This window comes from Homo sapiens, chromosome 2 (assembly GCF_000001405.40).
Source record: "Homo sapiens chromosome 2, GRCh38.p14 Primary Assembly".
Taxonomy (NCBI): Eukaryota; Metazoa; Chordata; class Mammalia; order Primates; family Hominidae; genus Homo; species Homo sapiens.
This window is the reverse complement of record NC_000002.12, coordinates 205,192,453-205,219,162: the sequence shown is the minus strand read 5'-3', so window position 1 is coordinate 205,219,162 and position 26,710 is coordinate 205,192,453. Positions and strand designations below refer to the sequence as shown.

The window sequence follows — 26,710 nt, the reverse complement described above, 5'->3', positions numbered from 1 at the left end:
ATAGAAAACATTAACTGGACAAACAGACAGTGGCTAGACCCAGAGTCCAGAGTGACCTCACAGGCAGCATTTTTTTTTTTTTTTAAACAGAGTCTCCCTTTGTCCCCCAGGCTGTAGTGCAGTGGTGCAATCTCAGCTCACCGTAACTTCCGCCTCTCAGATTCAAGCAATTCTCCTGCTTCAGCCTCCCGAGTAGCTGGAATTACAGGCACGTGCCACCACACCCAGCTGATTTTTGTATTTTTAGTGGAGATGGAGTTTCACCATGTTGGGCAGGCTGGTCTTGAATTCCTGACCTCAGGTGATCTGCCCACTTCAGCCTCCCAAAGTGCTTGGATTACAGCCATGAGCCACCATGCCCAGCCACAGGCAGTAATTTTTAAAATCTTTTTTTCCTAAGACCAGAGATTTCTTTGGACATCTCAGAGGCAAATAATAAAGGGAGGGAAAAGGTAAAAGCAATGGGCTGTACCCATAGTGTGTTCTCTCCTGCTACTCTCTCTTCCTCCCCATCCCCCTCCTACATTAAATAAAATTTTTGCTGTAAAAATTTGAAAGAGATTTACAAAATCTATTTACAATTATTTGCCTATGAGTTAATTATAGATTGACTGATTTTTTTAGCAATCTCTCTGCATACTTAGAAATTCTTTTGAGTTGTAAAAAAACCAAAAGTGTAACCTTTTTGCAATTGATATTTTTTAAAATAATAAATTCTAAGTGTAATAATTACTAAAATTGGCATAAGCTTCCATTTCAGGGATAAACATTTATTAATTTCACACTTGGATTTATGTTCATACATTACAGCCAATAATTTTGTTCATATCTCACATACTTCAGTAGGTTTTTGTAAAGCTTATAGGCTCTAGGCCTTGTGCCTATAGTGACTCATAAGAAAAATAAAACCCTTGCCTGTTTCGATCAGAAGAATTGCTTCAACAATTTAGGACATAAAAATAGAAAATTTGGGCTGGGCGTGGTGGCTCATGTCTTGTAATCCTAGCACTTTGAGAAGCCAAGGTGGGTGGATCATGGGGTCAGGAGTTCGAGACCAGCCTGACCAACATGGTGAAACCCCACCTCTATTAAAAATACAAAAATTAGCTGAGCATTGTGAAGCACGTCTGTAATCCCAGCTACTCAGGAGGTTGAGGCAGAAGAATCGCTTGAACCCAGGAGGTGGAGGTTGCAGTGAGCCATTGTACCATTGCACTGCAGCCTGGGTGACAGAGCGAGAGACCATCTCAAAAAAATAAAAAAAAAAATATATATATATATATATATATATATACACACACACACACACACACACACATATACACACATATATACACACACATATACATATATACACACATATATACATGCACACATATATATACATATATACTTATCTACACACATATATACACACATACATATATGTGTATATGTATGTGTGTATATATATATGTATGTGTGTATATATATAAAATTTAAAACCAGTAGGTTAGAGACATTAAGAAAAAATAGTAATTTGTTGTTATATTTTTCTCTCTGGGTGTCTCCTTCCTGCATCTTGTTCCTTCACTAGCTTCTCTGGTTATTCTTCTCTCTGGGTGTCTCCTTCCTGCATCTTGTTCCTTCACTAGCTTCTCTGTTTGAAGATGGTACTATGATTCTCTCAAGCAACTCTCACTTCTTATCCTCTGTTCCAGCTTAAATATAATTGGCCAAGCTTGACTTTGGCAGTGGACAGAGAATCAGGACATTGCTCTCTTATCATTTTTCTACTTATTCTACAATTCTGTCAAAACAAAATTAAAATAATAGTCTCTCAGGACTAAGATCTAAAGCAACTCAGAAATTCTGCCTAACTAATGAGGCTGTCTGTGCACTTCTGCACACATGCAGTGACCAGAAACTTACAGACACACTGGGTGGCTATGGCAGACATGTAGCTTGACTGATCCAATGCCACCTACAACCCTGTTTTCCCTAGCTACTTTCTGGCTAGACAGTATGTGACATGTGATAGTCCTGGCCAATGAATAAGAGTAGAAGTTTGCTGGACAGCACTTCTTAGCTGATACTGGATTTCCTGAATTAGGGAAGAATGTTGGCGTACCCTTTTGCCTTCTGTTACTTTTTTTTTTTGCCTGAAACATGGATGTGATTGCTGAAGACATAGAAGCCATCTGTACACTCCACAGTGACAAATATGGGTGCGAGAGCCAGAAAGTCAAGAGTGGCAGAGTGAAGAGGAGAAGGAGCCTAGGCCTCTGGTACCTTCACGGAGACCCTGGATTGGCCTTATTCAGGCTTCACATTACATAAGACAAATGAACTCCTGCTTACAACAACAGTTTGGTACGGATCCCTGAGCATTGCAGTGGAATGTGCTCGTAGCTAATGCTATTTTAACTGATAAAGAGTACTGTTCTGTGTTGACCTAAAACCTCTTAACAAACATGTCATCATTCTGCCCCATAAATATTCTTATTTGTCTTTCCAGGTGATAAGTCCTCAATGATACGAAGTAAGCATTAAACATACTTCATACCCCTTTTGTCCTTTTTGTAGTTAAATATCTGCATTTCTTTTTACCATGAACAGGCTTCTGCTTTTTTATTCTATTTTAAAATTAGTTTTATACTGCCAATTGATTTTATTATATGTGTAATACATATTTGTGGTAAAGATTTGAAATATACAGAAACATATAAAAAATAAAGTAAAAATTATACACGTAACTTCCACTAAGAGAAAGTCAATATTAACATTTTGCCAAACTTTCTTCTTTGATTTATAAGCCATGCGTCACTAGATGACTGAGATAGGTTCTGAGAAATGCATTGCTAGGCAGTTTCATCATTGTGTGAACATCATAACACGTACTTCCACAAACCTCGATGGTTTAGCCTGCTACACACCTAGGCTATATGGCCTAGCCTATGGTACCTATGCTGTTAACCCATAGAGCACGTTACTATAGTGAATACTATAGGCAATTTCAACCTAATGGTAAGTATCTGTGTTTCTAAACAAATCTAAACATAGAAAAGATATAGTAAACATAGACTGTTATAAGCTCATGGGACTAATATGCAGTCTGCAGTTGACTGAAATGTTACTACATCGTACATGATTATATATATACATACACACACACATACACACTACTATAATTGTATACTCTGCTTTTTTTAACTGGCATTTTACCATTAACATTTTTTATTTCATGAAGCATTCTGAAGATTTCTATTAGTTGCATAATAGTGTATTATATAGATTAGATTAATATTATATAATTTCACTAATTCTCTTATTGCTGGAAAATTAACTATAGGGAAAATTTTTATATTCCATCTTGGTCAAGTCTTTTATTTTTTTGGTAGGATAATTTTTAGAAATAGAATTACTGGGTAGAAGATGAAAATAGTGTTAAGGTGCCTATATAATTACCACTCTGCCTTACAGAAAGCAGCATTCATTTAAATGGCCAACAAGCATGTTCTGTACCACTGGAACATATATATTTCAGCATTTGCCAATGTTTGCCAATATAATATCTCAATTTTCTTAATTACTTGTGAGGTTGAATATATTTCATATTTATGTCCCAAATAAATTTCTTTTGCCCTTTGTGAATTGTCATATACTTTTCCAATTCCGAATTGAAATATTTGTTTTCCCATAATTTATAAGAGCTCTTCATATGTTAAGGATGTTAATCTTTTGTCAAGTATTTTCTAATTATTCCTTTATTCTCTTGAATGACAAAGAACATGTGGATAATAGGGAGCGATTATTAAAGCAGTGTCTCTTAATCCTATTTTAAGAATGTTGGCATTTCCAAATCAAGTAACTTTACAGGATGTTGCTGAATTAAAAAAAAAAAAGAACAATGTAATCCAAAGTGAACTCTTAGGATCACTTCTTGGTTTTACATATATTATCCATAGTAAATATCTTCTCCAACTTAAACAAATTTTTCTCTTTTCATTGAAATAAGCTTCTCCAAGTATTTCTCTTACACACCAGCATTTTATTTTTAAAATGAACCTTCTAAAACACACCTAGAAAAGTGCATGGTAATAACATATTAAACAACAATTTAAGGCTATTAACTTCTTTTACAGATATGATATTCCCAATCCATTAATGACGAAGCATATCATCAGTTTTCCCAGTGGGGTGGACAATTAGACTGAGCCGCCTTTAGAAATTCTTGCCCTTAAATGACTTTGTGACCACATTTTCAATATAACAACATCTCTAAATTATAGCTTGGTCACGGATAAGCCCTTTAAGTAAGTACTATTTTTTAAAGGGATACACATTTAGATATCTAATGGGTTAGTTAATTTAGCCCATTTTAGAGTTAACTCACATATCCATCAACATCAAGAAGTTATGCTGGCTACTGTACAAACTGGGTCATGCGAACGTAGGGCCTTTTAATGTTTCTCAGTTGTCTTAGCATATGAGGTGACAGTAAATAGATTGTACTTGCATTATTAAGCTCTTTGATTAAACCTAAATACAAAAATTGCTTTGCAGATAAAAATTTGCATAAATTATGAAGCTACATTGGGTCTGTACCAAGTGTTTAAACCATTTGGAATGGAATATTCTCAATTTATTTTGAGTCAATTGTCTTCTTTGAGTCAGGATTTTTTTTTTTTTTTGGTATCACCTTGGGGTATTTTTCGTGACAACTAATACTGTGTGACCCAAGGTGAACAAAATCTCTAAATATTCAGCTTACACAATATTTGCCACAAGTGACATGCAACCAAATTGCTCTATACTAATGTAATTCAATTTCATGTTGCTTCAGGTAAAAGCAAGCAGTTCAAGCATGTTTTGAATATAATTCCCATGGCACTGTGTTTATGTACAGACTACGTTATTTTTGTGCAAACAGTTTTATGAAAAAATCAAAATGGGATTAATAAATAAGAAGCACACAAATTTTTTTATTACAGGAATATTATCTTCTACTCTGTTCTGCAACCAAAAGGAAAAACATCTTATACATTAAAATAATATAAATAAAAACACATACTTCTTGAGATTAAAAAACAAACAAAAAACCTAAAAGGAAGATACAGAGGAATACAAAAGGAAAAAAGAATGCCTGTAATGAACAGAAGACTAGGAGGGGCCACAAACAATTTGATCTAATTTACCCTCTCTTGTGGTGCAAGTGAATTCACATGACCTAAACCAATTATGTCAAGTGATTGCCTAATTTATTCATAGATTCCTCCAATTAGGAAATAAAGCACACAGCCCTTTTCTTCAAGTTTTAAACAACTGCTTTCATTCTTCTTTATTTAATGAAATTGAAGCCTTTGACCTTCTTTATTTCCTGTGTTTGGTTCCTTCCTTAAATACGTTCATTTTTATCAGCCTTTCCCAAACACTTTCCTTTTAAGTGGACAAAACCAGGTAAGTGAATATGAGCGTATGGTGCTATGTTCTGGGCTACCTTTATCCTCATTCTATTTTCCTACTCAAACAAACCATTAATTTGCACTTTTATTCACTTGTCATTTAATCATTTGTTTCTACTTTTATTTATTCAATCTTTTGATGTAGGAAAAGGGAACCTGCCCAGATAGTAAGATGAGCCAAATCAATCATCGTGGTCCACGGGGTTTCTGAGATTGCAGCCAGATTGCTCCAACACTATTCATTCACTCATTCATCTTGGATTTAGTGGGCACCTACACATGCTAAGTGGTGAAGGGAGGTGCCCAAGAAGTATACAGTATCACCTGTAGAAGCTTATAACCTGATTGGAATGGGAAAAAAAATGCTCACTCAAAAGAATATCAAAGGAGTATGCCATTCTGTGCTAAGATATAGTATCTCAATTTTCTTAATTACTTGTGAAGTTGAATAACCAATAGTTACTGCTTTAGGAATTCAGAAAAGGAGCTGGAAAAAAAAAATGACAGTCCCCTAGAGAAGGCAAGATTTGAATGGGTCCTGAATGAAAGACAGAATTTAAAAAAGAGTGGAGAGAGAATAGGTCGTCTGTTTTTGAGTTAAGACTGGGAAACTGACAAGCCTTATTTGAAACAGCCATAATGGTCTGAAGCCCAACCATCAAAGTTAAATGTGCCTGAGTTCAAATCCTGGCCCCACCATTTACTAGCTGAGATATCTTATATAAGTCAACATCTTTAAGCCCTGATTGCCCCATCTGTAAAATGGCGATGGAATTGCTGTGCAAAAAAACTATGCCTGACATACAGCTATGAAGATTACAGTTACTACTAATGCTTTTCCTCTTTTTAATCTTCATATTCTAGATTAATAGGCACTGAAGCTTAAATATTAGGGCTTGATCTTTTTACCATATGTAAAAGAGAGTCAAAGGTTTCTGGCCACAGATAATCAGTAACATCAGAGGTTATCTTTACCATTCTTTTGCCATTCTTTTGGAGGCATATTGCAGTGCTGTCAGTTACATTCTATCATCACCGTCCATGGTTAATGTATGCTTAGTTGATTACAGCCCTGTTCATTCTTGCTGCTCTGCAGTTAATTCCTACTTGCTTAGTGGCTGTGGACACTTCTCTGCCCTGGAGATTCTCTCTCAGGTTACACCCCACTTCACAGCATTGCTCCACGTGTCCCAGCTTGTTGGCAATCCTTCCTCACCCTACTCTGGCTGTTGCACATCACCTTTAAATCTCACAAGCAAACTCACATCTTCTTTGCTAAGGACATTCCTCAAAGGATGAGACCTATGAGATAGTCTGTACTCAAAGTTTCTGTGATCAAATGAGTTTGGGAAATGCTGCATTTATTACATCCTGAAGATTCTTGAAGCCTGGAAACGTACAAAACATGCACTAATGGTTGTGAGCAATCCCGTATTTAAGAAGCCTGTTTAACTTTGTCAGCATTTCCGAGACTTTTATCATTAAAGTCACTACTAAAACCGCCAATCTGTTAGTTTCACTGACATTTTTGTGAATACTGTTTATATTAACAAATATATTCTTCAATCTTTGATAAGGTGGTACTATTAGCCTCAAGTGAGAGGACTGGGCACCTAAGATTTCCCTCTGGCCTTTCTGGGTACAGAGAAAGCACTGAGATCATTTACCTGACATCTACTTATTTATTAAAGCTGAAAATAAAAAAATTCTAATGGAACTCATTTTTCCTTCAATTTGGGTGCTATGATAATTTATTCCAAATTTTGAAAACATGCTAAATGTTCTCCAATTCATTGGTACCCCCTTGTTTTACTTTTAAGGAATTCCAAGCTGAAACCTTTTCAGGCTCTCACAATTCTTTCAAGACAATTCTGAAGCGTTTGGGGACTGGGGATTATGCCAGTTAGTTCCTGGATCAGCAGAGGACAGATTAGCTTATTCCCAGCCCACTTAAAACCATCAGTCTTGATTAGTCAGTTTCCAATTTGATCTCTATTTTAATTTTCACTTTAATTTTTATACCTTCATTGGATAGTGTTGCTAGTTACCTTTTCTTATGAACACTAGAAACCAAGTGGGTATTGAAACACTAGCCTTTCCAGTCATGTTTCCTCTTTCCACAATTTGTAGTGTTATGTTTGTCCTACTGGATATCTTTCCAGCAACTTTATTCACTTATTGCGTTATTATCGTTTATTTACCTCATCGCTCAAACTTTGTTCATGAGAGTATTTCCACTAAAGAAAGGTAAGCTACAGAAATAAGATACTGTCTGTTGTCACTGATATGTCTCAAATATTTGGAACATTACCTGGCATAGACAGTGCACCCAATAAATGATGAATGAAGGAAGGAGGGAATAGATGTATGGATGACTTTCGCATCCATACATCTATTGTATGTATGGATACATACATTCACATGGAGCTGAAATTGTATTTTCAAGCACTTTTCAGTCTTATAAAAGCAGAGTAGGTGTTTATGGTGATGCCAGTCTTTGTACTAATATGCTCTAAAGCAGCCAGCACTGCTGTATGTCAAGTATATTGGCTTCTGGGGTTCTGATGAAAAACCAAAAATAAATTATTTTTAGAAAGATTAATTGACTTGACCCAGATTAAGCAGTTTTATCATAAATAAATCTGAATTCTGCCTCTGCCTCATGTTTAGTTAAACATTTTTCTGAACACTTAATGAAAGACACAAATGTATTCATTAGCATGTACTTCAGAGAGGGTAACATTTAAATGAAAGCAAAGTATCTATTTTCCCCTGTGAGCAAGGGCTGAAATTTGATCTTTAATGTAGAGTAACATTTTAATTCCAAAAAGTGATATTTACTTTAGAAATTTTCAGCCTTATAAAGGAAATGCTCAGATCATTCACAATAGAAAACATACAGTCAAACAGCTGGGAGAGGTTTAACCACAGAAGTGATTTTAAAAGTAAAATAAAATAACCTTTTTAAGCCTATAACACTGGCAAAAATGAAAAAAAAATGATGACACCCAGATTCTTCCATATACTGCTGATACGAGCAAAACTGCTTTTCTGCAGGGCAACTGGTCATATGAATCAAAAGCCTCATATCTTTAATACATCATCTGGCTGGGGAGTACACGTATAGAAATTATAATGATAACATAATCATGATTGTTTACAAAGGTTGATGTACTAGCAGGCTCAATGCATTCCTGTTTCTAGAAGTGAAGAATTGGAAACAACTTTTATGGCAAAGAGTATAATATTAGTCAAGTGAATCACGCTACATTTATTCCAGAGTAAACTTTACAACTAAAAGATAATGTTGTAGAAGTAAAGATCCAGAGAACAATGTTTAGGTTAGACTGTTTTTAATACAAATTTAAAGAAATATGTTTGGTACAATCACTTGAGAAAAATTAGAATATAAGAACACAGGTAGGTATATAAGAGAATAAAAATATGTAAGACTAAAGCTGATTTTCTTTTTATTTTATTTTTTAAAAAATTTTATTTATTTTTAAAATTTTTTTTGTAGAGATGGGGTCTTGCTTTGTTGCTGAGGCTGGTCTCAAACTCCCAGGGTGAAACGATCCTCCCAACGCAGCCTCTCAAAGTGCTGAGATTATAGGCATGAGCCACCATGACTGGCCCTGTTTTATCCCTTAAGATAATTTTTTATTTTGTATTTTTGTGTGTACTTAGTAGGTGTATATATTTATGGGATACATGAGATGTTCTGACCTAGGCATACAATGCATAATAATCCATCATGGAAAGTGGGGTATCATCCCCTTAAACATTTATCCTTTGCGTTACAAACAATCCAGTAATCCTTTAGTTATTTTAAAATGTACAATTAAATCATTATTGACTATAGTCACTCTGTCATACTATCAAATACTAGGCCTTATTCATTCATTCTAATTTTTTTTTATATTTTGCTTTTTAAAGAACAAACTGCAACTACTGCATCTAAAAATCAGATAGTTGTCTCTCCTTACAGTGTCTTTAATCACTTCATAAAGTATTGCCAATAACAAATTTTATCATTCAAAATATTCAGAAGGGATAATTATGAAACTGCTAAACTTCATTTAACCTATATTTATATCATATATTTTTAATTATTTAATTGTATATTTTAATTATTAATTGTATATTTAATTGCACATTATATATAACATTTTCAACTAATGAAATTCTCACTTCAAAAAACTAAAATGGATTTGGTTCATATTTGCAAGGAGAACTTAAGTATTTTGTTCCATTCTTTGAATAAGCATCCTTAGCTTCATACTTTTAGGAAGATGTTCTTATATGAAAACAAAAGTTCTTTAAAAAGGAACACAGATTAATTAGATCCCATTTGTCAATTTTGTCTTTTGTTGCCATTGCTTTTGGTGTTTTAGACATGAAGTCCTTGCCCATGCCTATGTCCTGAATGGTAATGCCTAGGTTTTCTTCTAGGGTTTTTATGGTTTTAGGTCTAATGTTTAAGTCTTTAATCCATCTTGAATTGATTTTTGTATAAGGTGTAAGGAAGGGATCCAGTTTCCGCTTTCTACATATGGCTAGCCAGTTTTCCCAGCACCATTTATTAAATAGGGAATCCTTTCCCCATTGCTTGTTTTTCTCAGGTTTGTCAAAGATCAGATAGTTGTAGATATGCGGCGTTATTTCTGAGGGCTCTGTTCTGTTCCATTGATCTATATCTCTGTTTTGGTACCAGTACCATGCTGTTTTGGTTACTGTAGCCTTGTAGTATAGTTTGAAGTCAGGTAGTGTGATGCCTCCAGCTTTGTTCTTTTGGCTTAGGATTGACTTGGCGATGCAGGCTCTTTTTTGGTTCCATATGAACTTTAAAGTAGTTTTTTCCAATTCTGTGAAGAAAGGCTTTGGTAGCTTGATGGGGATGGCATTGAATCTGTAAATTACCCTGGGCAGTATGGCCATTTTCACGATATTGATTGTTCCTACCCATGAGCATGGAATGTTCTTCCATTTGTTTGTATCCTCTTTTATTTCATTGAGCAGTGGTTTGTAGTTCTCCTTGAAGAGGTCCTTCCCATCCCTTGTAAGTTGGATTCCTAGGTATTTTATTCTCTTTGAAGCAATTGTGAATGGGAGTTCACTCATGATTTGGCTCTCTGTTTGTCTGTTATTGGTGTATAAGAATGCTTGTGATTTTTGTACATTGATTTTGTATCCTGAGACTTTGCTGAAGTTGCTTATCAGCTTAAGGAGATTTTGGCCTGAGACAATGGGGTTTTCTAGATATACGATCATGTCATCTGCAAACAGGGACAATTTGACTTCCTCTTTTCCTAATTGAATACCCTTTATTTCCTTCTCCTGCCTGATTGCCCTGGCCAGAACTTCCAACACTATGTTGAATAGGAGTGGTGAGAGAGGGCATCCCTGTCTTGTGCCAGTTTTCAAAGGGAATGCTTCCAGTTTTTGCCCATTCAGTATGATATTGGCTGTGGGTCTGTCATAGATAGCTCTTATTATTTTGAAATACGTCCCATCAATGCCTAATTTATTGAGAGTTTTTAGCATGAAGGGTTGTTGAATTTTGTCAAAGGCTTTTTCTGCATCTATTGAGATAATCATGTGGTTTTTGTCTTTGGCTCTGTTTATATGCTGGATTACATTTATTGATTTGCGTATATTGAACCAGCCTTGCATCCCAGGGATGAAGCCCACTTGATCATGGTGGATAAGCTTTTTGATGTGCCGCTGGATTCGTTTTGCCAGTATTTTATTGAGGATTTTTGCATCAATGTTTATCAAGGATATTGGTCTAAAATTCTCTTTTTTGGTTGTGTCTCTGCCTGGCTTCGGTATCAGAATGATGCTGGCCTCATAAAATGAGTTAGGGAGGATTCCCTCTTTTTCTATTGATTGGAATAGTTTCAGAAGGAATGGTACCAGTTCCTCCTTGTACCTCTGGTAGAATTCGGCTGTGAATCCATCTGGTCCTGGACTCTTTTTGGTTGGTAAACTATTGATTATCGCCACAATTTCAGCTCCTGTTATTGGTCTATTCAGAGATTCAACTTCTTCCTGGTTTAGTCTTGGGAGATTGTATGTGTCGAGGAATGTATCCATTTCTTCTAGATTTTCTAGTTTATTTGTGTAGAGGTGTTTGTAGTATTCTCTGATGGTAGTTTGTATTTCTGTGGGATCGGTGGTGATATCCCCTTTATCATTTTTTATCGCATCTATTTGATTCATCTCTCTTTTTTTCTTTATTAGTCTTGCTAGCGGTCTATCAATTTTGTTGATCCTTTCAAAAAACCAGCTCTTGGATTCATTAATTTTTTGAAGGGTTTTTTGTGTCTCTATTTCCTTCAGTTCTGCTCTGATTTTAGTTATTGCTTGCCTTCTGCTAGCTTTTGAATGTGTTTGCTCTTGCTTTTCTAGTTCTTTTAATTGTGATGTTAGGGTGTCAATTTTGGATCTTTCCTGCTTTCTCTTGTGGGCATTTAGTGCTATAAATTTCCCTCTACACACTGCTTTGAATGCGTCCCAGAGATTCTGGTATGTTGTGTCTTTGTTCTCGTTGGTTTCAAAGAACATCTTTATTTCTGCCTTCATTTCGTTATATACCCAGTAGTCATTCAGGAGCAGGTTGTTCAGTTTCCATGTAGTTGAGCGGTTTTGAGTGAGATTCTTAATCCTGAGTTCTAGTTTGATTGCACTGTGGTCTGAGAGATAGTTTGTTATAATTTGTGTTCTTTTACATTTGCTGAGGAGAGCTTTACTTCCAAGTATGTGGTCAATTTTGGAATAGGTGTGGTGTGGTGCCGAAAAAAATGTATATTCTGTTGATTTGGGGTGGAGAGTTCTGTAGATGTCTATTAGGTCCGCTTGGTGCAGAGCTGAGTTCAATTCCTGGGTATCCTTGTTGACTTTCTGTCTCGTTGATCTGTCTAATGTTGACAGTGGGGTGTTAAAGTCTCCCATTATTATACCATTTGACCCAGCCATCCCATTACTGGGTATATACCCAAAGGACTATAAAGCATGCTGCTATAAAGACACATGCACACGTATGTTTATTGCGGCATTATTCACAATAGCAAAGACTTGGAACCAAGCCAAATGTCCAATAATGATAGACTGGATTAAGAAAATGTGGCACATATACACCATGGAATACTATGCAGCCATAAAAAATGATGAGTTCATGTCCTTTGTAGGGACATGGATGAAATTGGAAATCATCATTCTCGGTAAACTATCGCAAGAACAGAAAACCAAACACCACATATTCTCACTCATAGGTGGGACTTGAACAATGAGATCACATGGACACAGGAAGGGGAATATCACACTCTGGGGACTGTTGTGGGGTTGGGGGAGGGGGGAGGGATAGCATCGGGAGATATACCTAATGCTAGATGACGAGTTGGTGGGTGCAGTGCACCAGCAGGGCACATGTATACATGTGTAACTAACCTGCACAATGTGCACATGTACCCTAAAACTTAAAGTATAATAAAAAAAAAAAAGAAAAAAAAAAAGGAACACAGAATTTCATTTAAATATGAACAATGGTTTAGGAAACAAAAGCAAGTGATAAGAAAAAGTTCATATCTGTCTTTATGAAATTGAGGCAGTAATTAATAGCCTACTAACCAAAAAAAAGCCCAGGACCAGACAAAGTCACAGCCGAACTCTACCAGAGGTACAAAGAGGAGCTGATACCATTCCTTCTGAAACTATTCCAAACAATAGAAAAAGAGGGAATCCTCCCTAACTCATGTTATGAGGCCAGCATCATCCTGATACCAAAGCCTGGCAGAGGCACAACCAAAGAAGAAAATTTCAGGCCAATATCCCTGAAGAACATCGATGCAAAAATCCTCAATAAAATACTGGCAAACCAAATCCAGCAGCACATCAAAAAGCTTATCCACCATGATCAAGTTGGCTTCATCCCTGGGATGCAAGGCTGGTTCAACATACGCAAATCAATTAATGTAATCCTTCACATAAACGGAACCAATGACAAAAACCACATGATTATCTCAACAGATGCAGAAAAGGCCTTTAATAAAATTCAACACTGCTTCAGGCTAAAAAGTCTCAATAAACTAGGTATTGATGGAATGTATCTCAAAATAATAAAAACGATTTATGACAAACCCACAGCTAATATCACACTGAATGGGCATAAGCTGGAAGCATTCCCTTTGAAAACTGGCACAAGACAAGGATGCCCTCTCTCACCACTCCTATTTAACATAGTATTGGAAGTTCTGGCCAGGGCAATCAGGCAAGAGAAAAAAATAAAGGGTATTGAACTAAGAAGACAGGAAGTCAAATTATCTCTGTTTGCAGATGATATGACTGTATATTTAGAAAACCCCATCGTCTCAGCCCAAAATCCCCTTAAGCTGATAAGCAAATTCAGCAAAGTCTCCAGATACAAAATCAATGTGCAAAAATCACAAGCATTCCTATACACCAGTAACAGACAGAGAGCCAAATCATGAGTGAACTCCCATTCACAATTGCTACAAAGGGAATAAAATACCTAGGAATCCAACTTACAAGGGATGTGAAGGACCTCTTCAAGGAGAACTACAAACCACTGCTCAAGGAAATAAGAGGGGAAACAAACAAATGGAAAAACATTCCATGCTTAGGGATAGGAAGAATCAATATAGTGAAAATGGCCATACTGCCCAAAGTAATTTATAGATTTAATGCTATCCCCATCAAGCTACCATTGACTTTCTTCACAGAATTAGGAAAAGCTACTTTAAATTTCATATGGAACCAAAAAGGAGCCCATATAGCCAAGACAGCCCTAAGCAAAAAGAACAAAGCTGGGGGCATCATGCTACCTGACTTCAAACTATACTACAAGGCTACAGTAACAAAAACAGCATGGTACTGGTACCAAAACAGATATATAGACCAATGGAACAGAATAGAGACCTCAGAAATAACATCACACATCTACAACCATCTGATCTATGACAGACCTGACAAAAACAAGCAATGGGGAAAGGATTCCCTATTTAATAAATGGTGTTGGGAAAATTGCTAGCCACACGCAGAAAACTGAAACTGGACTCCTTCCTTATATTTTTTACAAAAATTAACTCAAGATGGATTAAAGACTTAAAAATAATGCCTAAAACCATAAAAACCCTAGAAGAACACCTAGGCAATACCATTCAGCTCACAGGCATGGGCAAAGACTTCATGTCTAAAACACCAAAAGCAATGGCAACAAAAGCCAAAATTGACAAATGGGATCTAATTAAATTAAAGAGCTTCTGCACAGCAAAAGAAACTATCATCAGAGTGAACAGGCAACCTACAGAATGGGAACAAATTTTTGCAATCTATCCATCTGACAAAGGGCTAATATCCAGAATCTACAAGGAACTTAAACAAATTTACAAGTAAAAAACAACCCCATCAAAAAGTGGGTGAAGGATATGAACAGACACTTCTCAAAAGAAGACATTTATGCAGCCAACAAACATATGAAGAAAAGCTCATCATCACTGATCATTAGACAAATGCAAATCAAAACCACAATGAGATACCATCTCATGCCAGTTAGAATGGCAATCATTAAAAAGTCAGGAAACAACAGATGCTGGAGAAGATGTGGAGAAATAGGAATACTTTTACATTGTTGGTGGGAGTATAAATTAGTTCAGCCATTGTGGAAGACAGTGTGGTGATTCCTCAAGGATCCAGAACCAGAAATACCATTTGACCCAGCCATCCCATTACTGGGTATATACCCAAAGGATTATAAATCATGCTACTCTGAAGAGACATGTACACGTATGTTTATTGCGGCACTATTCACAATAGCAAAGACTTGGAACCAATCCAAATGCCCATCAAGGATAGACTGGATTAAGAAAATGTGGCACACATGCACCATGGAATACTATGCAGCCATAAAAAAGTATGAGTTCATGAACTTTGCAGGGACATGGATGAAGCTGGAAACCATCATTCTCAGCAAACTAACACAGGAACAGAAAACTAAATACCGCATGTTCTCACTCATAAGTGGCAGTTGAACAATGAGAACACATGGACACAGGGAGAGGAACATCACACACCAGGGCCTGTTGGGGGGTGGGAGCATAGGGGAGGGATAGTCTTAGGAGAAATACCTAATGTAGATGATGGGTTGATGGGTGAGCAAACCACCATGGCACGTGTGTGCCTATTTAACAAACCTGCATGTTCTCCACATGTATCCCAGTATAGTATAGTAAAAAAATAAAAAGTAAAAAGTAAAAGTATAGTAAAAAAATAAAAAGTAAAAAGTAAAAGTATAGTAAAAAAATAAAAAGTGAAAAAAAAAAGGCTTAGAATCCTAGATACAGAGCCTCAGTACAAAATAAAAAGAAGAAAGCACTTCATGTTCTAATCCAAGTTTTAAGAGGAGCCCAGAATATTTAAATTTTAAAGAATAGGGCAGTTTTTCCATTGACCAAAATTTCTAATCAGAGCACAGACAATGTTCTAAGTACACAGAGGTCAATTTAGTAAAAATCTGCGTGGGTTTGTTACTGGCAGAATATCATTGGTTAAGGTTTTCTAAACTTTATAGTTTTTTTGTATCTCTTCTGGGGAAATAGAGTCTTACATTTCTCTTAGAGACAGTGACATTTTAAATTAACTACATATTCCATTAAACATGCCCCCAGCTTGAGAAAATACACTCAGTGAAAAACTGCCTGGCAACATTTGAGACCATTTGTGGCCCCATTATTGACTTAAGGATATACCTATGAAATCCACAGGTTAACTTTTCTCCCAGCATTTCATAATACTTAACTTTAGGAGAATTTACTTATATTGACTGTTCAAGTCCACTACTAATTATAAGAAAAACTTGTAGGAGATGTAGAAGCTCATTTCTAATTATACTACCAACACTACCCTCTCCATGACTGCTACTATTACTAATGACACCACCAAATCCCTAGGCATTAGGGATGTTCTAGGCATTAGGTTAAGTGTTTTTATGTAAGAGGGATGATCCTTACTCCGAATGTTTTCCTGTTTCAGATGGGGGCATTTGAGAAAGTTGTACCTCTTATTCACTCATTCAATAACTTATAAAAGAGTGCAGCTAAGTTTATGGCATTTGTGAGCATTTAGTCATGGGAGGGGTATGACAGGGATGGCCTGGCATTTGCCACAACTTTTAGACAAGTCTAGAAACATATGAAGCATTATAAAAGTACAATTCCTACACAAAAGATATTGTTTTCCAATTAATAGTAGTAAGAATGAATACAAAGTCAAATTCTTCTTGAAAGTATGTTTCCTAGGGAATGCAAAAATACAGCAGGAGGAAAGGATAGATAGAGACTTACAGGGATATGAAAAGCATGTCCTTGACATAGAGAACCATTTTTACACCTTTGCTTCCAACTCAAATGGTTATTTTAATGAATTTTAAACAGAATCTGCCTTATTCCGCTACATCTGAAATATTGATCAAGTTATATTATAGTGATCTATATTTCTACATTTCAGTTACTACTACTAATAGTCTATAATTCACTTTAAATGTAGCAATCATCTAAAATATAATTACATGTTAAATTTTGGTTAATCCAAATGTTGGTTTTCTTAATGTTTTGAAAGAGGCCTGCCGTGGATGGAGGTGCTGGAAACTATCTGAAGTCTTTTACCACTAGAGATGTCTAAGAATTCAGCCTGAGTTCTGACAGGTAGGTTCTCTAAATTCAACTTTTCATCTATTCATCTCACTACAATTATATTCTGTGTAATATGTACACAGTGTTATAATCTGTGTACATATTATAATACAGTTATGTAGTTAAAACATATAACTATATACATTATAATACGTTTTATTTATTTATTTTTTGAGATGGAGTTTCACTCTCGTTGCCCAGGCTGGAGTGCAATGGCGTGATCTCCGCTCACCGCAAACTCCACCTCCCAGGTTCAAGCGATTCTCCTGCCTCAGCCTCCCAAGTAGCTGGGATTACAGGCATGGGCCACCACGCCCAGCTAATTTTGTATTTTTAGTAGAGACAGGGTTTCTCCATGTTGGTCAGGCTGGTCTCGAACTCCCGACCTCAGGTGATCTGCCCGCCTTGGCCCCCCAAAGGGCTGGGATTACAGGTGTAAGCCACTGTGCCCGGCCCTATAATATGTTTTAATGACATAATCATATTAAAATACTCTAACAAAAAATAAAAAGAACCTGTATCCCTTGTCAAACACTGAAAAATATATGATGGTCTCTTTCTCATAATTTTGGTGAGTTCTGCTTCTCTTTTCAGTCTTCAGGAGCTGTTTTAATTTATATATTTTTCCTTTCATACCAAACATGCCATAAACCAGAATTCCGTTTTCCATCACTGTTATCCTTTTCGATTTCAAAACTTGTAAATGTGATGTATCTTCTGATGTGATTATCATTGCTTGATGTATCTGGGGTACTGATTAATTTTAAACATATGTGAGTCTTTCAATATTTGCATGAAAATATTTGAGGAGAGCTCTCCTATGACTCAAATCATCTCTCTTTCAGGCATAATATCTTTATTCTTTCAACTGTTTTTTACTAAACATGGTTTCTAGGCCTCTCACCAATATCTGGATTGCATTCTATACTGTCTTTGTAGTTATTAAAATATTGTACCCATAATTGAATATGGAACTGTAAATGTGTTATGACCAGGCCAGAATAAAGTGGAGCTGTTTTCTCCTTTGATCTGAAAACACAGAACTAGCTCTGGGGATGGCCGTGTCAGGCAAGCAGCTAAGAACCAGGGGATTACTTCAATAGTTACTATCCCCACTCTCGTAAATCCTACACTTATACAATTAATCTTTTTTAACCTGACTTTAGGACATAACCTTTATCATTCACTATCCCATCTAAAATACCTTCACGTCCCCTCAGTCATTCTCTCTACCTGAATTTGGCTTTAGGAAAAAACATTTCTATTTGAATCTCTATCATGTGAAATTTTATTATTTATTCACTGTATACATCTTTACCATCTGTTTACATAACGAGAATGAAAACACTGTAAGACTGCAGCCTTTGTCTTATTTACCTGGGATGTTGCCTGGCATACAGTAAGTGTCAATAAATCCTTGTTGAATGAATGCATCATTCTTTATTAAATTCTATCTTCTTCAATTCTGGAGAAATCATCTGAATGCTAATTCTGTCAATCTATCACCCAATTCTCTAAGACGGTATTTCTTGAAAATTTGTGAAGAGTGCCTTTTCCTTCTTTACTCTTCTTTGACTTTAAGGAAAAAATCCTGTTTTGTAAAGAAAAATTAACTAAGACTGAAAGAGGTCTGTTTGCTTTGTATAACAGACAGGGAAGTATACAAATATTAAGTTAGATATGTGCCAAATTACCTATATCCAATCTTCATCAAATTCTGTTGAGTTTTATCAGAACACAATAAAGATGTCGTTTTATGGTATATGTTATTTAATTTTCTCCAAGGTGACAATGAGACATTAATTAGCACATTTCAGGAAGGGACATTTTAATGCTGTGTCTACCTCTGTATGTAATTTGACCCATAAGTCTCAATAAGAAAACAAATGGAAATACTTTTATAAACATCAACATAACCTATATGTAAAACATTTTCCTGACTTAGCAGTTTAGAAATCCCATCAAAAAGGAAAGGAGACACCAGTTATTTCAAGGACTCCATTGAGATTGCTGGTGACCACCACATTTTTTTTTTTTTAATTTCACAAACATGGAAATCTGATGATCAGCATTGAGATTACCAGTTGTTTCTGGAATTCATTATCTTTCTGAAAATTGATCATTTGCTTCCTTGTCTTCCAGTGTGAGGCCTACTCTTCATAATTTCTGATGATCAGGGACGGCCACTTTATAATCACAAGCCTTTTAGTGCACAGGGATGTAAATTGTCTAGTTTTCCATTGCCTGGCAGCCATGCTTTTTTGGTTTGACCATCATTCTCTCCTATGTATGAGGATAATACTAACACAGGAACTGAGTGGCTTTGCTTTCCACCTGACATCTAGCAGGGGTTTAAAACAATGGGCCACCTCGCACACTTTCTTTTTCATGCTTTAAAAATAGCTTGGCTGTCTAACTTTTACTAGGTTTTGCAAGTCTCCTCTCATGCAGCTGTTTACCTCTTCCTGCATATATTATTTCAGATTTTTACTACGTGTGTGCGTGTGTGCGTGTGTATATATATGTGTGTGTGTGTGTATGTGTATATACACACACAGTAAAAATGTACATATATGTATATATTTTAATCATTTGCTTCTCTCTTCCTCTTTTCTACATAGCCGAGGTTATCAGTGAGTTCTTGAGGCAGCCACATGAGTGTCTTCAGATGCCTCTTCCCTTTCTTCCTCCCTGAGATAAGTTATCATAATGTCAGAATTTCCTTTTGGTAGTTTTTCCTTAACTCTTGAGCTTTTCTTTCCTGTTGGGGTTCTAATCTAGGTACAGGCAGCAAGCACCATTTCTTTCATTTATTTACCACATCTCCAGTGTTTAATGCACTTCCCGGCACACAGTAGGCACTTAATAAACATTTACTTAATGAAAGAACATTCTCTATAATTCCTTTATTTTGACTTACTAGAGCTTAAAGTATATAGCTGACTTCATCTTTGTATACTTGTCTATTATACAAATAGACACTTTCTTACAATATTACCATTAATTTTTCTTTACAAAACAGGTTCTTTTCTTTAAGTCAAAGTTGTATCCCAAACAGTAATATCCAATTCAGCTTTTAACTATATTCAGAGGTACTACTTATTGGTGGACAATAAAAGAAATCCATGGATATAAATAAAAATAGTAAAATATATTTTATATATTAATACAAACCAGCATCACACTTATTAGAATATACAATTTTATAAAAATTATCCTATGTATTCAGTCTTTATTATCAATAATTCATATAGAAGTACCTCACTATATGAATATAATCTTAAAAAGAAAGTATTAGAGCAGTAGAATGGGGCTTTTTTCATGCTCATCTTTGAGCTGATACTAGAAATGTACTGTCTAAGAGGAATATCTGACATATATAAAAGGTTTCATATTCAAAATGTATCTCAAATATTTACCTTTGTAGATGTGAGAACTCAGTTGGCTTATAAATTACTTCAATTGTGGGTGTCTAAAAACATTTCCTAATTTAAAAAAATTAGAGCAAGTAACTAACAGAAAATAAAACTGGTGAATCACTAATCTTGAAAGGAAGTCAGCCAACCTATTTATCGTCTTGATTTTAGGGAGAGTTTTTCAGGACACATGCTCTTTCTTAAAAGACTATGAGACATGGAATGTTAACAATCTTCATTGTCAGGAAACTTCCTAAAATTTCGTCTGAATGCCTCATGCATCACTTTAAGCTCATTTCCTCTTACTGAACAGGGCAGCTGGCCAGCATCTTCCATTTGCACTGCCCTTAGCCTTCTCCAAACTGTGTTATAGAACACCCTTCTGAAATGGGCGTGGGAGGCCAATGTGAAACAGGATAGAAAACTCTAAAAACAGTATCTTGTGAGAAACAGCATTTTAAACTTAACTCTGAATGGGGCTACAGAGTAGGTCAACAAAGGGGGCCAACAAACTGAAGTGCTATCTTTTGAATAATTCAGACTAATTCTCAAACAGTATTATGGGGTCATAAAACACCAAGCCTGGAAATTAAAGATTTTTATGCCTCATCAAAAAGTCTTTGAATGTAACTTCCTGGCATACTGCCAACAAGGGCAGCTCTTTGGGGGAAAACCCTATGCCAAAGGCCAAAGAGGCAGCTGTGTTATTCAGCTCCTGAGAGCTTCCAACTCAACACCCACACAAGCTCAATTATGAACAAATTAAAGGAGTCCAGACTGAACACAGTAATTCTGGTAATTTAAATAAATAGGGAAAAGTCTACAATTAGTAGGAAAAGATTGATTTTCTCCAAAACCCAGAAGTATCCACTCTCCAGTCTCTTAAGTGACACCCTAACCCCTTTGAATTAGCATGACTACATGCAATTATTTAAAAACAAATTTCCTTTTATTTATCATGTTAATCATTTCTGTTCTGATTTAAATGTGACCACATGCATGCCAGTAAAAGTATCCACAAAATCCCAAGGCAAAGCAGCCTCAAAAGGGCTACATATACATTATACTTATAATGTATATATAGGAATTAATGACACTGAGTAAAATTGTTATCAGAGTTGTACACCTACATTTTAGAGCATATAATGTGTTAACCATCTCAAGAAGTGTTTAATATACATATCTGTAGTTAATCAATAAACATTTTTGCAAGTAAAGAGAAAAATTTAGAGTCATTGAAAAAGAATCGAAGATTTAATATTGGGGAATCTATTAATTAACTCACTTTTATTTCACTAATAGAATAAAGAACAAAATCCACATTATCAGCCAGTAAGGGCCTTAAAATCACTTACTAAAATTAAACATTCATTCTTGATTAAAAAAAATAAATGATTTAATCAAAAAACTTTTAGGAAGTTAGGAATGCAAAGAAACTTATGTAGCTTGATCAAATGTTTCCATCAGAAGCCAATAGCAAACATTATAATTAATGTGCATGCTCTCTCTCTCTCTCTCTCACACACACACACACACACACACACACACACACACACACACACCCCCCCCCCACAGTGGAAGCATTCCTGTTTCATCTTTAAACTCATTTTGATTAGCTGATTGTACAGTCCATGCAGGAGAATGAGTACATATGAAGAGCCAAAGTAATTTCACAAAGGAAGAAAAATTAAAGGAAGATTATCCTGTAAGTAATCAAAACAAGACATAATAGCAAGATAATTTAAATGGGGTGATGCTGACATGAGATGGACTAATATATCAACAGAATAGTATGTCTAGAAACCCACACATCTATGTGTGCAAATTTACTATTCAATGTGACTAAATTTCAAATTAATAGGGAAAGAACGGAGAAGTCAATACATGTTATTAATAATTTGCTTATTTATGTGAGAAAATTCTTCCATCTCATACCCCATGGATAAAAATATATGATAGAGTCCTAAATATTTTTAAAGCCTCTAAAAGTACCAGAGGAAAATGAGATAAACATATAACCCAAATGTCACAAAAGAAGAAATGATGAAAATATTTGAGAATAAGACTGAAACCTTTTTTATGATGAGAAATATCACAATCAAACTAAAAAGACAAATAATGGGTTGCAAAAAAATCACTTGCATCCCATGTAACAATATTTTATAAATGAAAGAGGACAAAATTAACAAATGGTAACGTGGCAAAGGCTATAAATAAACAAATTGCAAAATCTTAAACACAAACGACTCAAAAACCCACCAAAACAACAACAAAAGAACTGCCAATGAAGCCCACATTCCATTAAAAGGGGAAGAGTAAAGTAAGCTGTAAATGAAGATTAATGAATGTAACACTATGCAACTATTATAAAGAAATGATATGTGATGTGGACATGTACATAGATGGGGAAGCAACTAGTGCTTTCTAGGAGCACTCACATTTTAGACTATATTTGTGTCTGATGAATAGGTAAAAGGGATGGGAATAAGGAGGCTTTATTTTTTCTTAATTGGAATTGTCTGTCTTTGAAAATATAAGTGAAAATAAGTAAATGGAAGCCACTCACCTTTAAAATAGCTTGAGCAGATGAACAATGACTCATTAACATGCAAGTTAAAATACTAGTTTGGTCTTAGTAGCAAATATGAAACAAAAACAAGGCTACTGATAGGATCCATCAGCCTTTGAAGATTCCTACAGACTTTATAAAGTGAGAAATAGCCAATATAAATTAATTATGTAACAAATAGAAGGTTTTTTTTTTAAATTTTGAACCATATGAAAATGCTGGTTTTCCAGGTCAAAAATAGACATCATGAATTGTGTATTCATCCTAAATAGGCTACTTATTAAGACGTTTTAAAGAATGTTAAAACGCTTTAAAGAATCAAGATCCTGCTAGGATTATTCCTATAAACATAGTCACCTACTTTTTGAGCAAATAAATTAATCTCTTACATTGGCCTAGTGCTATAAATGGAAAACGAATAGTCTATTCCTCTAATGAAACAGAAAAGACACTTTCAAATGTTTACCATTGCGGTATCACCTAAGTGAATTTCATATTGAGAAGGCTAACACATTTGTTAGGCTCCCTGACTTGACTGTTCTGGGGAGAAGGGATCAAAATGGTACTAGAATGCTGACTCTCAGGGCCTTCTGAAAGACTGTTGGCTTTAGCCTGGTACTTCTTGGAAAGGAGCAAAGTTTGATGATTACTCTAAACTTGTTTTTACAGCATGCTGTTGAGTATTTCCACTGCATGGTGCATTTTAGCCAATGCTTTTAGTTTGGTACTAGGGTCCTGAAGAAAATAGCTCGTAACCTGACCAATTTTGTAAAATGAATAAACCTTACTATTATCGTTGTCATTTATGGCATATGTATAAAAAAATGCAAAGAATGACGGCTAACTACATATATTTTGCTAGGACTATTTCAGTTTAGAAGAGAAAACTCAAAAAACAGTTTTTGGTAATAAAAATGTAAACAAAACGGCTGGATGCGGTGGCTCACGCCTGTAATCCCAGCACTTTGGGAGGCCAAGGTGGGTGGATCACTTGAGGTCAGGAGTTCGAGAACACCCCGGCCAACATGGAGAAACCCCATCTCTACTAAAAATACAAAAAAAAAAAAAAAAAAAATTAGCCTGGCGTGGTGGCAGACACCTGTAATCCAAGCTACTTGCGAGGCTGAGGTAGGAGAATCACTTGAACCCAGGGGGCGGAGGTTGCAGTGAGCCGAGATCGCACTACTGCACTCCATCCTGGGTGACAGAGCGAGACTCCATCTCAAAATAAAAATAATAATAATAATAAAATTAAAATGTAAACAAAAATATTGATTCTGCACATGTCTTTGGTTTTATTTTTTACAGGTTTCATAATATTTTTTCTCTCTTAATTTAAAATGGGTGCTGTTTTTTCTTTTTAGAAACATAATAGTGGCTGCTTTAATTAAATGAGGAAAACAAATATATTTCTCTCCTCAAAAATAAGAGCAGTTTTGATCCATTCATCTTCTTTACAGAGAAATTGGGAAGACAGAACAGGAAATGTTTATCAAGCACTCTATGAAAATGAACTGCTCTTTAAATAATTAGTAATAACCTATGTCACTGTCACAAATTATTCCTTTGGTTTGTCAAAGGTTCACGCTTGAGAAAATACTCTTTCTGACCAGTGCTCAAGACAGCTTCCTTGTTAAGGTTTCTATCTGTCTCTCACTACAGGCGATTACAGCAAATGCATCCCAGTCATTTAGTTAATTTATACAAAATAGAATCAATTTCTCTTGTTTCATCATGACTGAACATTTTTCTGAACTCCTGTAAGTGAGTAACAGAAAAGCACTATTTATCAGATCGTTTGGTGGAGCACGCACTTTTGATTATTCTATTTTCTCGTTGTTACTAAAGAAATATATAATATGCCTTGAGAAAAAACAATTGCAAAGCTTGGCCTCCAAGCATTCATGAGGCAATGGATATTTTGCTGAGAATTTATTGTATCCATACTTTTCTCTAATGGTGTTCTCTCTAAGAGCCCATGGGAGGGCAGTGATGCTCTAGGGTATCTGAGATGTCCCAAGGCTTTCAGAACACAGTTAACAGGGGCCCTTGCTCTGCCCTGGCACCCAACAGTCACCACGAAGTTCCCCATGGTGCTCAGAACCTCAGTGAGGTTGTTCAGGCATGGACACAGGGTACCTTGACACCCTCAGTGTGGCACGCCCAAGAGACCCTTTTCCCCTCCAGTGTCACAGGATTTGGGGATGGGCATTTAAAAAGCTGAATCTTCTGCACTGATGCCATCTCTATCCATCACACATGGAGAAGAATAGAAGGAAGTGAAGCACTAAGGCAAAGGATGCTTTGAACCACATGATTTTCCCAGGCTCTGCAACAGGTATGCCCGCACAGAGTGGAAATGCCCTGGCAGAAGCGAGGGTGCAAATGCAAAGGCAGATGGATGAGATAAAGATGCCTCTGGAATTCAGATCCTCCAGAAGGAATCATTTTTGTCATCTATGATGGGAGGATAGTTTATAGATCACTTTGTAAAAATAAATCACTTCTCTTTGTTTCACAAAGTGGGTAATTACAATTAAATGTGCGAAGAGATAGGAAGGTGGGATGGCCATTATCCCTTCCTCCAGGCTTCTGCAGACCTTGTTCCCTGAGGTTTGAGTTGAAGAAACAAAACCAGGACATTTGGGAAGATAAATGGGCTGAGGCTGGAGAGCTGACCTGGATGTCACCTCACCCTTGCTTACCAAGGTCCATGCTCTTCGAGGCTTTCAAATTAATTGATTCAGGCTGCCTGGCCGGTGTCACAGATCTGAAGTTGATGTGCTGATCTGGAAAATATACTGCTGAATCCACCCCAGAGCTGTGGAAGGAAGCCATATGTTGTATTTAGGTTTAGAATAAAATCTTTTAAAAAATGAGGAAGCAGTTCTCATTTTGAACACAGCCACTCATCACTCTGCGCAGCTCCCAACCACATATTTTCAACTAATTCTTAAATCTCAGGTTTCTTTTATGAGATGTAGCAACTCTGTTTTCATGTATTTTATCACACTGTACAATTTAAATAAAATATTCTCTGGGCAATATCGTGTTTTACTCTTCACTGATTTCTGCTAATTGGGATCCTGCTGTACACTATATAACTTTAAGTGGGTAAAGAGGGCCTGGAAAACACTAGCACTTCAAAAGATGTCACTGGATATTAGCAGAGCCCAAAAGCAGGTTAAGGGATTTCTGTGGACTAAGCTATGCCTATTTTAAAACACAAGTGAAAGGGTTGTATCCTTTAGAGAAAACCATCCTGTTGAATGACTGATGCCTGTAGGAGTTTGGTTTTCTACTTTATTTAGGTCTTTTTCCTAAAACTAATGTTAACACTAAGCAGACAGTCTGCTCACCAAAAGTGCCAAAAGGAAATAATAGGAAGAGCACAGTTGACAATTAAGACACAAGATACATCAAATGCCCATTATAGTTTTCTTAGTACTTGTAGGCAATCTCAAATAACTTTCCTTCTGCTGAATATTTTATTTATTTTGCTTGAGGATAGAGGGTATTACATAAGAGAATTACAGACAATGACTTAGTTCTTGTTTTAGAAATAAATTTATA

At 35.9% G+C, this 26,710-nt stretch overlaps 1 protein-coding gene across 17 annotated transcripts in view, besides 2 other annotated features; it reads right to left on the bottom strand.

Moving 5' to 3' along the window:
- PARD3B (par-3 family cell polarity regulator beta) overlaps nt 1-26,710 on the bottom strand; it is a 1,074,688-nt gene that overhangs the window by 401,000 nt on the left and 646,978 nt on the right. For all 17 annotated transcript variants that reach the window (XM_047443208.1, NM_001302769.2, NM_205863.4 and 14 more), the window contains one exon: nt 25,843-25,958. In XM_047443208.1, the coding sequence (XP_047299164.1) occupies nt 25,843-25,958 (116 nt within the window). The remainder of the gene's footprint in view (nt 1-25,842; nt 25,959-26,710) is intronic.
- Nucleotides 4,929-5,516: an enhancer, noted in NCBI's record as "OCT4-NANOG hESC enhancer chr2:206078371-206078958 (GRCh37/hg19 assembly coordinates)". NCBI's record gives its function as "activates a minimal SCP1, AML or CMV promoter by ChIP-STARR-seq in naive H9 embryonic stem cells {active_cell/tissue: H9 hESC(naive)}" and the evidence as "EXISTENCE:reporter gene assay evidence [ECO:0000049][PMID:30033119]".
- Nucleotides 10,580-11,081: an enhancer, noted in NCBI's record as "NANOG hESC enhancer chr2:206072806-206073307 (GRCh37/hg19 assembly coordinates)". NCBI's record gives its function as "activates a minimal SCP1, AML or CMV promoter by ChIP-STARR-seq in primed H9 embryonic stem cells {active_cell/tissue: H9 hESC(primed)}" and the evidence as "EXISTENCE:reporter gene assay evidence [ECO:0000049][PMID:30033119]".